The sequence below is a fragment of the Homo sapiens genome, chromosome 10 (assembly GCF_000001405.40).
Source record: "Homo sapiens chromosome 10, GRCh38.p14 Primary Assembly".
Taxonomy (NCBI): domain Eukaryota; kingdom Metazoa; phylum Chordata; class Mammalia; order Primates; family Hominidae; genus Homo; species Homo sapiens.
Window position 1 is genome coordinate 83,988,076 of NC_000010.11, and position 15,860 is coordinate 84,003,935.

At 43.3% G+C, this 15,860-nt stretch overlaps 1 long non-coding RNA gene and 1 pseudogene across 1 annotated transcript in view, besides 2 other annotated features; one reads left to right on the plus strand and one right to left on the minus strand.

Annotated features, from left to right (window-relative positions):
• Positions 1-15,406, minus strand: part of LOC105378399 (uncharacterized) — a 31,892-nt gene extending 16,486 nt beyond the window's left edge. Inside the window, exons 1-2 of the long non-coding RNA XR_946148.2 lie at positions 15,265-15,406; positions 4,670-4,822 (exon numbers count right to left, since the gene is read on the minus strand). This is a non-coding gene — a long non-coding RNA (uncharacterized LOC105378399). The remainder of the gene's footprint in view (positions 1-4,669; positions 4,823-15,264) is intronic.
• Positions 2,015-2,164: an enhancer, noted in NCBI's record as "active region_3673". NCBI's record gives its function as "activates an Ori minimal core promoter by ATAC-STARR-seq in GM12878 lymphoblastoid cells {active_cell/tissue: GM12878}" and the evidence as "EXISTENCE:reporter gene assay evidence [ECO:0000049][PMID:35858748]".
• Positions 7,869-8,038: an enhancer, noted in NCBI's record as "experimental_17591 CRE fragment used in MPRA reporter constructs". NCBI's record gives its function as "activates a minimal promoter by MPRAs in K562 erythroleukemia cells, with activity observed for both the introgressed and non-introgressed 10:85755785 variant alleles {active_cell/tissue: K562}" and the evidence as "EXISTENCE:reporter gene assay evidence [ECO:0000049][PMID:34662402]".
• On the plus strand, positions 15,257-15,404 carry RNU1-65P (RNA, U1 small nuclear 65, pseudogene; annotated as a pseudogene).

The window sequence follows — 15,860 nt, forward strand, 5'->3', positions numbered from 1 at the left end:
GGATATTATGCTATAATATATATAATATGTGTTACATGTATAGAGAGAGGGAGAGAGATAATGAATTTAAAACAAATAAGCTTAAAAGAAGTATAATAAGACCTTGACTTAAGATAGAAGACAACAATGGTAGTTAAGGAAAACTGCCACTAAGTAAAAATGGATAGCTTCCCAACAGGCTGGCTAAAGACATACATGTGATGGTTTAGGAAAAGCAGACTTTCTCTAGGCTTTGAAATAAGCAAAAATACGCATTCCATGGGTGTGTTTCCTCATGGGAAACTTTAGGTTAAAGAGAAATAGGATGCTGAGAACTATATCTTAATAAATTATAAAATACTCCCCTTTTCTTCTCGTGTTCTCTTTCAATACAGTACTGAACCCCAAATTGCAACATAATTTTTTTCTTTGTTCTAGCTCTACATCCTCCTTAAAGAATTTTTTTGTATGTAAAAAGCTGAAAGCATACCCAAACTTAAATTGGTACTTCTCTCTCAGTTATATGTATTTGACGGAAGTGACAAGCTTCAGTTTGCCCACAGGTTCACATCTAACTCACAGATTGAAGTGTCACTGTGGGATCTTCCCACCACAGAATGCTAGATGGAGGTTAATAGATGTCACCACACAAAAAAAGAAAAAATTAAAGATTACTACTTCTCAGTCCTCATTAGCATGAAAACATAATTGTGTATTTTATGTTTTTCAGAGATGAGGGTCATGCCTGTTGGAGCACCTATTGGCTTGCAATCTTGTTGTCACCATCAGTCAAAAGGAAAGTATCAATTTATTTGAATGGCCTTTGTCAATGTTGGTCTGAGAACATGCTGCATGAAATAATAATAATTAGCATTAAATTAGTGATGAATGATGATAATAGTTACTGTCCATTGAGTGTCTTCTATTCTAAGTGCAAGTACTTTCCAAATAGTATGTTATTTAATTCCTACGACAATCCTACATATTATCCCCATTTCATTAATGAGAAGCTGAAGTTGATAGAGGTTAAGTAACTTGCCTAATTCAAGATAGTTGCAAGACAAAATTCAAACCCATATGTACCTCACTCCGTGCAGATTGTGGAATAACATAATGAATGATATCTTCAATCGAAATGTTATTATTTTAGAGAAGCGCCATGCAATATATGGCATTGGAGACCATGCCACCAATGCCATGACAACCTAGCTCTTCCTATAAAACCTCCCCCTCTACCACCCACCCAATTCACATGGACATAGCCAAGGCTCCTGACTTTATTTTGTCTATGGTGATCCAGACTACCTGTGTGATGGTTAATTTATTTGTCAACTTAACTGGATCATCGGGTGTCCACAAAACTGCTGGTTAAACATAATTTTTGAATGTGTCTGTCTGTGAGGGTGTTTCTGGATAAGATTAGCATTTGAATTGGTAGACTGAGTAAAGTAGATGGCCCTCCCTAGTTGGAAAGGATGAGCCTTTCCAACCAATTAAAGACCTGAATAGAACAGAAAGGAGAGAGAGAGAGAGAGAGAAAAGGAAAGAAGAGAGAAAGAGAGAGAGAAAGACAGAAAGACAGAAAGAAAGAAAGAAAGAAAGAAAGAAAGAAAGAAAGAAAGAAAAGAAAGAAAGAAAGAAAAGAAAGAAAGAAAGAAAAAGAAAGGAAGGAAGAAAGAAAGAAAAGGAGGGAAGAAAAGGAGGGAAGAAAGAGGAAGGAAGGAAGGAAGAGAGAGAGAAAGGGAGGGAAGAAGGAGGAAGGAAGGAAGAGAGAGAGAGAAAGGGAGGGAAGAAGGAGGAAGGAATGGAAGGAAGGAAAGAAGGAAGGAAGGAAAGAAAGAAGGGAGGGAGGGAGGAAGGAAGGAAAGAAGGAATTCTCTCTCTCTCTGCCTGACTGGTTGAGCTGGAACATTGGTTTCCTCTGCTTCTGGACTGAACTTCACACCATCAATGCTCCTGGTTCTCAGGCCTTCAGACTCAGACTAAAATTACACCACCAGCTTTTCTGTGTGCCCAGCTTGCAAACAGTAGATCATGGGACTTCTCAGCCCCCATAATCATATCTATTGGTTCTGTTTCTCTGGAGAACCCTGATTAATACACCCTGGTTCCAGATCATTGGTCCAGGAGTGACTCAAGATAAGCAAGTCGGACATCTTTCTTCAGGAAATTTCAATTTGGAACTGAGAACATTCAGTCTGGTCCAATCCATTGAAAAGAGGAAATGAAAATCCAAGTGCTATGTTGAGGGCTTACCACGGTTTCTACCATGTGACCTGGTGGCAGACAAGGCCTGACCACAAAGAAAGAGGAATGAGGTGGCCTTCAGGGGTGAGGAAGGTGGACAAGGTCTGCAAACACTGTGGGCAACTCTGCTTCTAGTTCCCATTCATTCCTGAGGGCTGGCCGTCTCTCTGTCCTGTGCCCTCCTAGACCAATCTGTGTGCTTTTAACAAATCTCCCCTTTTATGCTTAAAGAAGATCTTGTCGATTCCTTTTCCATGGAACTGAAAGAACCCTAACTATTCAGGGTCATCTGATCAAAGCAGGTCTGGAGCTTCCTAGTGGTCTAGTTTCAGAAATACAACATGAATCCTGGGGAGGTTTGAGGACTGAATAATGAACACATCCTCCAGTTTTTCCCCTCCCAAGTGCCAGTGATCTCTTCTTTCAATTTGAAAGAAACCGAAAAACTATTCTAAAGTAAGTCTCAGGCAAGAATCGGAAGAGCCAGAAATCTATGTTCTTAGCTGAAGAGCTCAGAGGGCTGAAGCAGAAGGATGGCTTGAGCCCAGGAGTCTGAGGCTATAGCGTGCTGTAATCGTGCCTGTGAATAGCCACTGCATGCCAGCCTGAGCAACACGGCAAACCCTATCCCTTAAAAAAATAATAAAAATAGGCCCAACGTGGTGGCTCATGCCTGTAATCCCAACACTTTGGGAGGCCAAGGCAGGCAGATCACCTGAGGTCAGGAGTTCAAGACCAGCCTGGCCAACATGGTGAAACCCCCTCTCTACAGAAATACAAAAATTACCCGGGCATGACGCAGGTGCCTGTAATCCCAGCTACTCGGGAGGCTGAGGCAGGAGAATCGCCTGGACCCAGGAAGCAGAGGTTGCAGTGAGCCGAGATCACGCCATTGCACTCCAGCCTGGGTGACAGAGCAAGACTCCGTCTCAAAAAAAAAAAATAATAATAATAATAATAATAGCCACACATAGTGGCCTACACCTGTTATCTCAGCTACTTGGGGGACTGAAGTACGAGGATTGCTTGAGCCCATGAGTTTGAGACCAGTCTGGGAAACACAGGAAGACCCCAACTCAAAAAAAAAAAAAATTTAGGCCAGGCATGGTGGCTCACACCTAAAAATCCCAGCACTTTAGGTGGCCAAAGCAGGAGGATCCCTTGATGCCATGAATTCAAGGCCAGCCTGAGCAACATAGCAAGTCCCCATCTCTACCAAAAAAAAAAAAATTAGAGCAAAAATATAGACATAAAGCAAGAACGTTCATGTGGGGCCACACAACAGCATGGGGTTTAAGGCCTAACAATAAGATTCAATATTAATTGCTGCCTTGATACATGGCAAAACTGGGAGGGCCTGGAATGTCCTAACCACAAGTTCTCCTCTTCCTTCACACCATGGATAAGAATCCCTTGGCCGGGCACAGTGGCTTACGCCTGTAATCCCAGCACTTTGGGAGGCCGAGACAGGCAATCACGAGGTCAGGAGTTCGAGACCAGCCTGGCCAACATGGCAAAACCCCGTCTCCTACTAAAAATACAAAAATTAGCCAAGCGTGGTGGTGTGCACCTATAATCCCAGCTACTCAGGGGGCTGAGGCAGGAGAATCACTTGAACCTGTGAGGCGGAGTTTGCAGTGAGTCAAGATCACACCACTGTACTCCAGCCTGGGCAACAGAGCAAGATTCCATCTCAGAAAACAAAAAAACAAAAAACAAACAACAAAAAAAAAGAATCCCTTGCCAAAAGACCCTTATCACCAAATGGACCAGGTGCAGCTCCTCCTTATCCCTGCGTGGGTAGTCTTAGTTCCCTCCCAGCCCATAAAACATTTCAGACAAACTAACCACTTCCCCTGTGGGAAGCAGGAGTCCCCCTATCCTCTTGATACCACAGAGCCTGCCTCCCACAGCCTCTGTTCCCAAGTTCAACTCCGTTGTGGCCCTGTGTGGCACAGTGTCTTTCTCCCCAGGCCATGAGTGTGTGTGATAAATAAACTAGTCTCAACCTCATCTGTCCAGTGCTGGGCTGTTTGTCATGTGTTTGACTATCCCTATAACCCTAGGATTGTTCCCCCGTGGGATGAATGGGAAGCAATTCAAACACAGCAGCACAGAGATGGGCCAGAGGAGGGCCTGTGTAGGTAACATGCACTTACACAGACAGGAGTAAGAGCCTTCTCTGCAAGGAACACCCCACCCCCACCCCACCACCCCAGGCTCCCAAGGACGTGGGAAAATTCACTCTGAGAGCAATGGGGCATGCCTGAAGCCGCTTGCCAGTTATAGCACCACCTGCTGGGGTCTTGTGCAAAGTGATCTATTGAGAATGGCAAGGTCCAGCCATCAAATGGTTACTAGACCATTAACTTCAGCATAACCTATATAGAAGAAATGATCGCCAACCTACGCAGAGGTTCTCATGTTAACATTCAATACTTACTTATTGAAAAGGTTTTTTAAAATGCTCAGCCAAATGAGAGCAGGCAAACTGTTTTTCTTCTAATTACAGCCACGTGCATCTTTTTCTTAGTTAATTTTCTCAGCTCTGATGATTGTCTTCAGTGGGTTCTTGACTCAATCTAAGTGAGTTCATCTGTAAAACAGGGATGATAATAGCACCTACTATACGGGGCTACAATAATAGCTGCATAGCACTTAGAGCAGCTTCAATACACACAAGATCTTAGTAAGAATTAGAGAAACATTTTTTTTTTCTTTTAAGTGGAACCTTGACTGTTCCTGACCTTTGAGAATGTCTACTCAGTGAAACCTCCACAGAGGTACAATCCATCCAGGAAGACAAGGATAACTCAAATGAATTGATGAGAGAACAAGACTACATAATGCATGATCGAAAGTGTTAAAATGTGCAGAACTGACAATCTTTCCAAACAGACAAGGGGGAGAAAAAGAATAGCATGGGCTTGGCCTGCCAGCTAAGTTTTAGAGAAAAAGAACTTGATCTTGGCCTCAATGATGCATAAAATTGTTAGAAAGAGAGGAATGGTGTTACATATGAAATGAATCTCTAGTAATTTTTCACTAGGCACTGGCTTATGGTCCCGGAAAATATTGTAATTGGCAAAACTGCATTTGGCAAAATCATGTTTAAAAATGGAAATGTCATTAACAAGTTTATCTATAAGATATATTGAATATATATTTATCTATTATACCCTAACTCAAGCCTAACCCCTCCAGGAAGGTGACCTTCTCTGAGAACCCGTCACTATCTCCTGTGGGTCACCAATGGACCAAGGCACACTTCTATGTGGCCCTCAAACTTCATAGCATAACTTACCTGCATCTCAAGCTTCAATCTCTAGCCACAAACTCAACTGTCAAGTGAATATAACTTTCTTTACCTTTTGTATGAATGACTCAGTTGCAGCTTAAGATGGCATTATTTCCAAGAGACTTATGTAGTGCCAAAGCAGCAACAGGAGCAGAAACCCAGGTCCTCAAAGTCATCTATCCATGTAAGCTGTCTGCCACCCTGTCCAGCCCTAGATTTTTGGTTCATGTGAGTTGGCCGTGGGTCATTGAGACAGACCCTGTCATCGTGTTCTTCAGACTCAGGGCCTATCTCCACTGCTTCCCTGCCTTTCTAGGCACGCAAGAACCATCCTGCAGCTAAAGTCCCTGACCCACTGCCGTTTCTTCTCTGCAGTTCAGCCACTTTCCCAGGACTGAACCCAGTAGAAGGGTCCTGGGGTTCTCAATATCAGTGTTCTTATCATTTCTCCAGCTCTCTTTCTGTCCCTCAAGCCAAAGGGCCTCTTTTCTAGTCTAAAGGTTGCAGTAGGGTTATTCATTTTGTCCCTGAGTATTTGTTCTAGACCATGAGTCTTTTCTGTTCCCCATAAATCTACCCCATGTGTCCTACACTACTTCACCTGCCCACACTGCACTCCTTTGGCTCTCCACACCTTCAAGTCCAAAGAAGTATGTTACATTTTTTTTCATGGGAGTTGGGGTGCATTCCGTTCCTTTCCTAAGCTGCAAAATAATGTATAGGATTTTCAACTATTTATGAGGCCAAAAGAATAAGATAAAATATTTGTGTGTTCATGTATGCTTTTATGAGTTTATTCACAAATATCTCCGCAAGTTAATTTATGCACATATGCTAACAAATAAGGAAGCAGGCTTTGCTCCAGGGGTGAAAAGGCCTTGTGTTCTATCAATATCTTCAAAACTTTCCAAACAGCTGTTGCACTAGAATCCTTGTCTCAAAGTCCACCTCTGGAGGAACCGAAACTATGACAATCAAATGGCTGCTGAAGGGAATGATGCCTGCTGGAAGTTACTCCGCATAAAGAAAATACCAGGCAAAGGGTCAAGACTGATCTTAGCAATGGAAGCTCCACAGGTGTTTTCTAAATTAAATACCCCATGACTTTGCCTGGCCTACATTGACATTAAACTGCTTAATATACATGGAAATGTTTTCCAAAATCAGCAAACTAACAATGGTTTTATAATACAAAAAGGTGATTTTCTAGATACCAGTGATTCTCAAATTGTGGCTGATGGACCAACATCAGTATCAGGGCATTTTGATAGAAATAAAAATTCTCAGGCCCACCCCAGACCTTAGAAAGTCTGGAGGTGACTCCAGCAATCTATGCTTTAACAAGCATGCCAGGGGATTCTGATGCACACTCAAGTTTGAGAACCACTGATATATGCTTCAGAAAGGTGACCAGGACAGTGAACTTTGTGAATGATCAGGCTCAACAGGAAGGTGAGGCCACATCATGGGATAGTGGAGCTTTCTGCCACTTATTGAGTTTGCTTTGGGGCATGTCATTTATCCTTTCTGAGTTTATATATAGAGAAAGACTACATTATATACATATATATAGACTACATTATATATGAACTAGTTTACATATGTATGTTGTAACATATATATGTTCATACATATAACATATATATGTTCAATATATATGAACATATATGTGTTAACTAGTTCATACCTCACATGAGCTACCACGAGAATGAAATGTAGCATGTGTTTGAAAGGTCCTCATAATTGGTTGTTGTTGTTGTTGTTGAGAAGGAGTTTTGCTCTTGTTGCCCAGGCTGGAGTGCAATGGCACGATCTCTGCTCACTGCAACCTCTGCCTCCCCAGTTCAGGGGATTCTCCTGCCTCAGCCTCCTAAGTAGGTGGGATTACAGGCGCCCACCACCACGCCTGGGTAATTTTTCATAGCTTTAGTAGAGACAGGGTTTCACCATGTTGGCCAGGCTGGTCTCGAATTCCTGACCTCAGGTGGTCCACCCACCTCGGCCTCCCAAAGTGCTGGAATTACAGGCATGAGCCACCGCGCCAGGCCGGGTCCTCATAATTGTTAAAAAGCCATAGAAATATGAGGTAAGCAGGCAGCCAGCTTTTTAAAAAACCAGCAACCACAGCAGAGAACAGCTTGATTGGAAGTTCCAGCACATTCTAAACAGCACTCTGAGGGCCTGAACAGCTGCTGGGATCAGCCCCACATCTCAACAAATGCAACAGCCATTTGCCTGCCCTTGCTGACACGCAGGAGAGCATCTTTCCTCCGTTGCCTGCAGTCTCCGGGGACTGGGCTCTGAGAGCAGGCAGCCACTTCTGCTTGATGTCCTCCCTTCACTGTGACTACAGATGGTGATGACTTACAAAGGGCATGTTTTAAAGATGTCTGGCTCAGCAGTTTCTCACTGCACTGTCTTCAGATGCACTGGTGACAGAGAAAAGAGCAAGGAGGCAAGGAGGAATGAGAAGAGGGCTGGATCAACTGGCCACAACCTGTCAGCTTCCTCTTCCTGTCTCACCTTGGCTTCCTGGAAGGCTTTTGCTGCTACTCCTCAGATATGAAGGGGTAATTAGGTCACAGACTGAGTAGGGTGTATGACCTGAGAAGGAGGCTGGATTCAGAATCGGGTAAGCAGTTTGCTCATGCCTCTTCCCTGTTTACAGAACAAAAGTGTGCAGCCTCCAAACAGCCCTGAGCCCTGCTGGGAATGGCTGTCAGTAGGTTCTGTGGAGAGCAGGGGCCACAGCACATTAATATCAAAGAGCTCTCCCTCCTCTATAGGTAGACTGTCACGATTCAGCCTCATCTTCTGGAATCCCGATTGGTCTTCGAGGCTGACTACTGCAGAAAAACTGATGAGCATAAAAAATCTATTATGACAGGGCCATGATGGGTTCAGCAGATTTCCCCGACATTTAGGCATCCTGGATTGAAGGCAGGTTTCCCTCACTACCTACATCTATCATAGTACTGAGATTTTTGAGCAAAGAAAAAGAGCAAACAAGGGAGACCTCCTTGTTGTGGATTTTGTTTCTTTGAGTCTAAAAGCTGGGGAGAAGTAATGCTAGTTTACAAAATTAGCTAGGGGAAAAATTTTCTGCAATTGACATTTTTCTTCTACAAATTCAGACGAGCTAACCTCCAAATCACTTCCAATTCTGAGATTCAAGCATCCCAGCAATTCTATTTGCTAGAAAATATAGAAGACTACAGTCCTTGGACACACAGAGTTGCCATTTTAAGCATAAAATGCTGGGAGCTATTTTTACTTAATACCTAAGATTATTCTCAGGTGTTTAAGCCTTTCACCTAAACAGCACAGCCTGGTTCAAGCTTCAGAAGCACAAATTGAAATGGCATTACACTTTAAGCTCCCTGGTTCTGACAAGAGACCAAGGGGAAGAAAGGGCAGCTACAACTGTCATGCTAAGGAGGAAGGATGAACAGTTGCCTTTCTTATGGCTCTGGACAAATTTTGTACATTGATTTGGAGCTCAAAACAATCCCAAGGAAGGAGGGAGGACAGGGTGTGCTTCTGGCCTCCTGGCTCCATACAGATGGCTCCAAAATATCACTGGCCCTGGCACTCTGGCCAAAAAAGACCAAGAAATGGAAGAATAATCCAAAAAAAAAGGAAGAATAGCTCAACCCTGTGGTTTTATAAACACAATTTCTCTCTTTTCTTACTAGAGCTCTCCTAAGACTGCAGCTATGGTTTTTCATATTCTTTATTTGTACAGATCCCAATTTAGCTCAAGCAACAAAATAAACCATAGCTCTCAATTAAATACACTCTGAAAACTGAAAGTTCCTGTTTGGCCGGAGGTTTATTCACATTAAGCTGAGGTCTGCAGCCTGGGAATCCCATTTCGCTTTGCCTTGTATTTTATTTCCACTGTAAGAGGATCAGGGCTGACACATTATCTCCAATTGGAAGGATATTTGGAATCTTTGCATAACAATACAATGTGAAGCTGCAGAAATTCAGTATGATCATTTTGTAGCAATGGGACACAAAGAGATTGTATGAGGCTTCTCTAAGATCTCAAAGCAGATCACTGACAGGTATGTGGATATCCCGTAATCTACAATACTATTTTAGGCTTTATAAATATTCAACAGAGTCCTCTCCTTGGGCAGCTGTGTGTTCAAGCCTCATATGATGGAGGCAAGAATTGCCCATAAAGTGCAAAGTTTTCGTTCAACACATGCCAACCAACCTCCACATCCTGAATTCAGGGTTTGATGGGAAGAGAGCTGATAAATATGTCTAGGAAGCATGGAGGCTCCTGGGAGAAGGCTGCAGACCTAGACCTATCCTCCATTCTCTATTGAGATTCAATGTTTTATTGGACATCTTAATTTCATGTCCTAAACATCCATCAAAAGGATGAGATGGTAGTGCCTATATCCAGAAAACACTTAGTATTAGTTATTCAATTAAACATTCAGAGCCTGGTGAATGGACAGGGTAGTTCCTGCCAGAGCAGCCTATCCAGCCCATTCAGAGCATATAACGATGGATGCCTCCCTGCTAAGTTCATCTCCAGGGCGCCTTCTTTGTCTTATCTATGTGGTTGCCCCTTTTTTAAGGGCTGCCTGCTCCCATTTGTGGATTCCCTCTCTTGCTCCCTGTCATAGGACGTTGATTCTCTTAAAATTCCCCCTCCCCAGGACTCTGCTCCTCAAACACATGTGCACGCGCACACACAAACACGCACACCACATCCTGCCTTTTCTTTTCCCCAGTCTTCCAGCTGAGTAGGTCATCATTCCATTCCACCTGTCATTTTCCTGGAAGGAGCTGGAGGTAGTTAGGATTCTTAAGAGTAGAAAAGGGATGAGTATAAAAGAGTAAAAACACAGAGACTATTTAGGAAATAACCACAATAGTTTAGGTAAGAAATGAGGGTAGCCTGGACAAGGGTTGAGGTAGTGGAGAGGGTGAGGAGAAATCAGACTCAGAGAGCTTAGGGGATTTGCTGATGGATTGGCTGTTAGCTGAGAGGGAAACAGAATTACGACTCCACATTTTTGTTTTGAGCAACTGGGTAGATGGTAATGCCACCTGCTGAGATGGAGGAGACAGAAAGAAGATTTGCAAGAGGTAGCCATCCGGAGGTCATGTCTGAACATAAGTCTTGAGGTGCTACTGCACATTTAAGCAGAAAGACTGAACAGAGGTAGATACCTAAATGTGGAGCCAGGGATGAAGATCTGGGAATAATCATATATCACAACCTATTTTGTTCCCTCAAGCAATGGTGAAGCAGGATATTTCAGTTAAACAAAATCCACTGGGTGCCTAACGTGTGCCTAGCATAATGGGCAAACTAAAATGAGAGACCAAAAAATTTGCTCAAAGTCCCCAAACTAAGCAACTGCATGATTCAAACAGAGGTCATCTATTCTTGTATCTAATCATTTATTGAACATGTATTAGGTGCCCACCATGTGCCAGATCCTGTGGGATCTAAAAGATACTAGGACTAAAAACATAACTAAAATAGAATAAGTGCTGATTAAAAGTTATTAGTATCATTATTTATATTGTCTAGTGGAGAATACAAAGGCATAAACAGAATTGTGGAAAAGTTTGGAAAAGCAACATTAGAGGACTTGGAGGGCATTATGGTAGTTACCAGTGAAGGCTGCCCGATCCCACTCTTTCTGTCCACTGTGCTCCTAATTAGGCCAAGGGTACCCAGCTCTGCTGTGGCAGAACTGAAGCTGTAACTCACTTATATGACTCCCAACTGGGCTTCCTACACGAGTGACATTGTAGTACTAGAACCAAGCCTTCACATCTCAATGAAAAGTGAAGACCAGAACAGCCCCAGTGCAATTTCAGTGACCCAGGTTCTCTGTTTAGGAAGTCAGTGTTTCTTCTTCACTGGCATGCTGGTATCTGCATGATTGTGACTTAGTGAGGGAAAAATTCATGCCTTAATTCTGTCTTATTAGAGGAAGCAAAGGCGGGGCTGACTATCATGGCCCCTGTACCTCCATGTCTGAACAGAATATAAAACACAAAAAGTGCAGACAACCATAATAGGGAAATACATGTGTGCAATGTATCAGAAACTGTTCTAAGAACTTTTCATACATTTGTCTTCCTTTATCCTCACAACAGTCATGTGAGGTAAGTGAAATTATTAACCCCATTTAACACAGGAGAGTACCAAGAGTCCTCCAGTGTTGTAAGTGGTAGATACAGGATGGGAACCAAGCAGTGCAACCTTAGAGCTTGCATTCCTAAATACTGTGTTACACTAAATGGATGCTTCAGTAAGAGGCACCACATTGACCTCATGGTTGTGTGTCCCCCAGCACGCCAGCACTCACATCCAAGACAGCGCCTACCTGAGGGGAAAAGTGCCCACCATGCCTACTGCTGCTCCCCCTCCCTTCTGCCCTCACCACCTCTCCCTCCCATGCTCTGCAAACACTCCCCAACAAGCCATCCCAATTTACATAATCACTCTGTGCTTCTCTGCACAGTCCTTATTTAAGCTGTCCAGAAACCCGCATAAAATAGTGGATTATTCATAGATACGAGGAACCCTTTCCATTTTGCTGCCAGTTTTAAGCTGTTAAACTGCCCACCAATCTGCTGATAAAATACAATAATGTGATTTATCTCCAAACACACAGAAACATCTCAACGAATCGGATTTACTTTATCTTCCAAAAAATTTTGTTTTGGATTTTCCAAGATGTCCTTTTCACAGCATTGTCCTTGTGATAAGTTGGATGACTTTGAGAAAAAGGCGAGCAATTCATTTATACCCACTCTCCCATCTGATTCCTAGAAATATCTGTCTGCCTCATAATCTCTCTGGAGCCTTTATTGAGCTCCCAGAGGGCAACTCTCGCATTCTCCCCTATCCTAACCTCAGGCTTCACCTCCCGGGAGAGGGACTAGGGACCAAGTAATTAAGTAGCCCCTCCTCCCTTTTATCCCATGTCCACCATCCTCAACATAATAGAGACCATAATGACCCAGGGTCTTCTGTCACTTCTTCCCACTCCACCCTCATTTCCCTGCAGCTTAGAACATCGCCTACTTGTGCAAACCCTGATCCTTTCTCCAGAGCCCAGTGGAGTCTCCATGTCATTGCAACCCATCCTCTTCGCCAACTTTTATTCTTAATTTTTTATTGTTTTTGTTTTTTGGAGACAGGGTCTGGCTCTGTTGCCCAAGCTGGAGGGCAGTGGTACAATCATAGCTCACTACAGCCTTAAACTCATGGGTTCAAGCGATCCTCCCACCTCAGCACCCCGAGCAGCTGGAACAACAGGCATATGCCATCAAGCCCAGCTAATCTTTTGTGTGTGTGTGTTTCGTTTTGGTAGAGACAGGGTCTTGCTATATTTTCCAAGTTGGTCTTGAACTCCTAGCCTCAAGCAATCCTCCTGCCTCAGCCTCCCAAAAAGCTGGGATTACAGGCATGAGCCACCATGCTGGGCCTCTTCACCCTTAGTCTTTTCCCTAAATGGTACCCAAATTGTCTTCTCTTGGCTATTCCTGGCCAGTATAGCTCTATCCCCGGAAAGAATGTGCCACTGGCAGAGCTGTACTCCTTACTTCAGGGCTTATGCTATGGTTTTTTCACAGGGCTGTAGGAGGGTTGCGGTAGATAAAGGTAGAGAGGCATATTGGTCTCTCTCTGCTGCTTTGCCTCCTCTCAGACCATGACTCTTCCATTTCAGTCAGAATCCTCTTCTCCTGGGCCCCCAGTCCCAATCCGTTCTGCCCTTTCTCCAACCCACTGCTGTTGTCACCTGATTATTCTGCTGCATTTAAGAGACCTTTGAAGGCCAGGCATAGTGGCTCACACCTGTAATCCGAGCACTTTGGGAGGCAGAGGAGGGAGGATCGCTTGAAGCCAGGAGATTCAGGCCTGCCTGAGCAACATAGCGAGATCTTGTCTCTACAAAAATTAAAGAAATTAGCCAGATGTGGTGGCACACGCCTATAGTCCTAGCTACTCGGGAGGATCACTTGAGCCCAGGAGTTCAAGGCTGCAGTGAGCTATGATCCCAGCACTGTACTCCTGCCTGGGCAACAGAGCCAGAACTTATCTGAATAAATGAAATAAAATGCACAATATATGGGTAATTCTGTTTACATTATCATTGTCTTCATCGTACCACCACTATATCAACGCCACACTCATCATCATTTCCCTTCCCTTCTCCATGCCCCTTCCACTCTAACACACCTAATTTCTTATTTCCTAAATATGACCACCTCCTTTGCGACACCATGACTTAATGCTTTACCCTCTGAAATGTCTGACAAACTGTTAGCTCGCTTTTGAACTATGACTCTGAGTTGGTCCCTGCCTTCTCTGAGCTTCCATAACACACTGTTCATACACACATGTAGGTACATTTTACACTGTTTCTAATCCAATTCCGTGGCAAATTAAAGATGGCCACAATGTCTTTGGCATGCCTCCCATTGAGAGGTAGGGTCTATGTCCCCTCCCCTTTAATCTCAGTGTGTTTATGACTATATTGACCATTAAAATATGGCAAAAGTAATTCAAGGCTTTGAGAAATTGGCAGTTTCCACTTTCTATTGTCTTAAATCACTCTCTCTAAGAGTCTTGAGCAGCTATAAGGTGGATGACTTGAAGTCAAGAGTTTGAGACCAGCCTGGCCAACATGGTGAAACCCCATCTCTACTAAAAATACAAAAAATTAGCCAGGCATGGGTAGCGAGAGACTGAGGCAGGAGAATCACCCCAACCCAAGAGGCAGAGGTTGCAGTGAGTCAAGATCATGCCACTGCACTCCAGCCTGGGAGACAGAGAGAGACTCTATCTCAAAAATAAATAAACAAGTAAATAAGTCTTGGCTACCTGAGGCTGTTATACTGAAGAGACCACATGCAGATGCTCTGGCCAAAAGACCCAGCTGAGCCCAGCCTCCTAGCCAGCCCCACTCAGAGGCCAGCTATATACGCATTAATCCATCTTTGACCATACAGATCAATCAGTCCACCAAACAGTGACCACTGAATGGCCTCTATGCATACCACATGGACTAGAAAAATTGCCCAGAAGAGCTCTGCCCAAATTCCTAATTTCAAAATTCAAGATATATAATAAAGTGGCTGCAGTTTTAAGCTGCTGAGGTTGGAGTGATTGTTATATAGATTTTCCAGCTTCGAAAGGCTGCCTACATTTCTTGCCAGCAATTTAGCACCTTTCCTCTGCCTTCTTTTCTGTCCTTACATCTATTTCTCTAGCCCTCCTGAGTCCTTATTACAAGGACACTGTGATTACAGTAGGCCCACCTGGATAATCCAGAATACTGTCCTCATCTCAAGTCCTTGATCACATCTGCAAAATCCCTATTGCCATAATGTAAAGTAACACATATACAGGTTCCAGGGATTAGGACTTGAACATTTTGATGGCCAGTATTCTGCCTAGCCACATCAACAAATGTCTCAGATTCCTCAAAAGATTTTGACATCACCAAGAGGGGCTTGGAGTATGTAGATGAACACAATGCCTTCTGGTTGGTCTTGTTCATATTGTACATACATTTCTTAGGATTTTGCAAATATTCTAGTATCCAAAATGTTATTATCTGGCTCTTAAAATTTGAAGTCTTTATGTCACAAGTGACAGGCTAGAGCTTGTGCAAAGTGAATGACCCTATGTGTAAAGTGTTTGGAATCAAGGGTGAGATGCCAGGCCACAATAAACTCATACTTACCTACTGGGGGAAATACCATGATCATGAAGGTGGCTTTCCCAGGGTGAGGCTCATCCATTGCACGCTGGATGTGTTGACGTCTGCAGGAAACCTGACTGCATAATTTGTGGTAGTGGGGGTACTTCACTTTCATTCCTTTGTATCACTGTTGGTCAAATGATAGAAGTCATACTTGGGATGTGTGGCTATTGTTTTGCTTTGTGACTTACAGTTCTCTAAAGTAGATATGACATTATGGGGTATGTTGTATGCCTTTGCAGCCATTTCTCAGGATGTATACCCTTAAATATCTCCAGAAACAGCAAGTTATACTATAGCGTAATCTATGCTAGTGACAGCCTTCCTTTGTACTTTCTCTCCCACTTTACTTTTTGGTTTTTTTTCCAAAATAATTTGATATTTTTATTGAAGTAACGTGAGTGTTTTTGAAAATATCATACAAAAGGGTTAAATCTGAAAGATGACTCTTCCCCTGACCCCTCCTTCCTCACCTTCCCCATTTGTAGCTGTTTCTTCATTTACCTCCATATTTTTGTGCTGGTATTTATCATAAGAATTTCACTGACATTTCCCACCCCAGTACCTTCCCTCCTCCA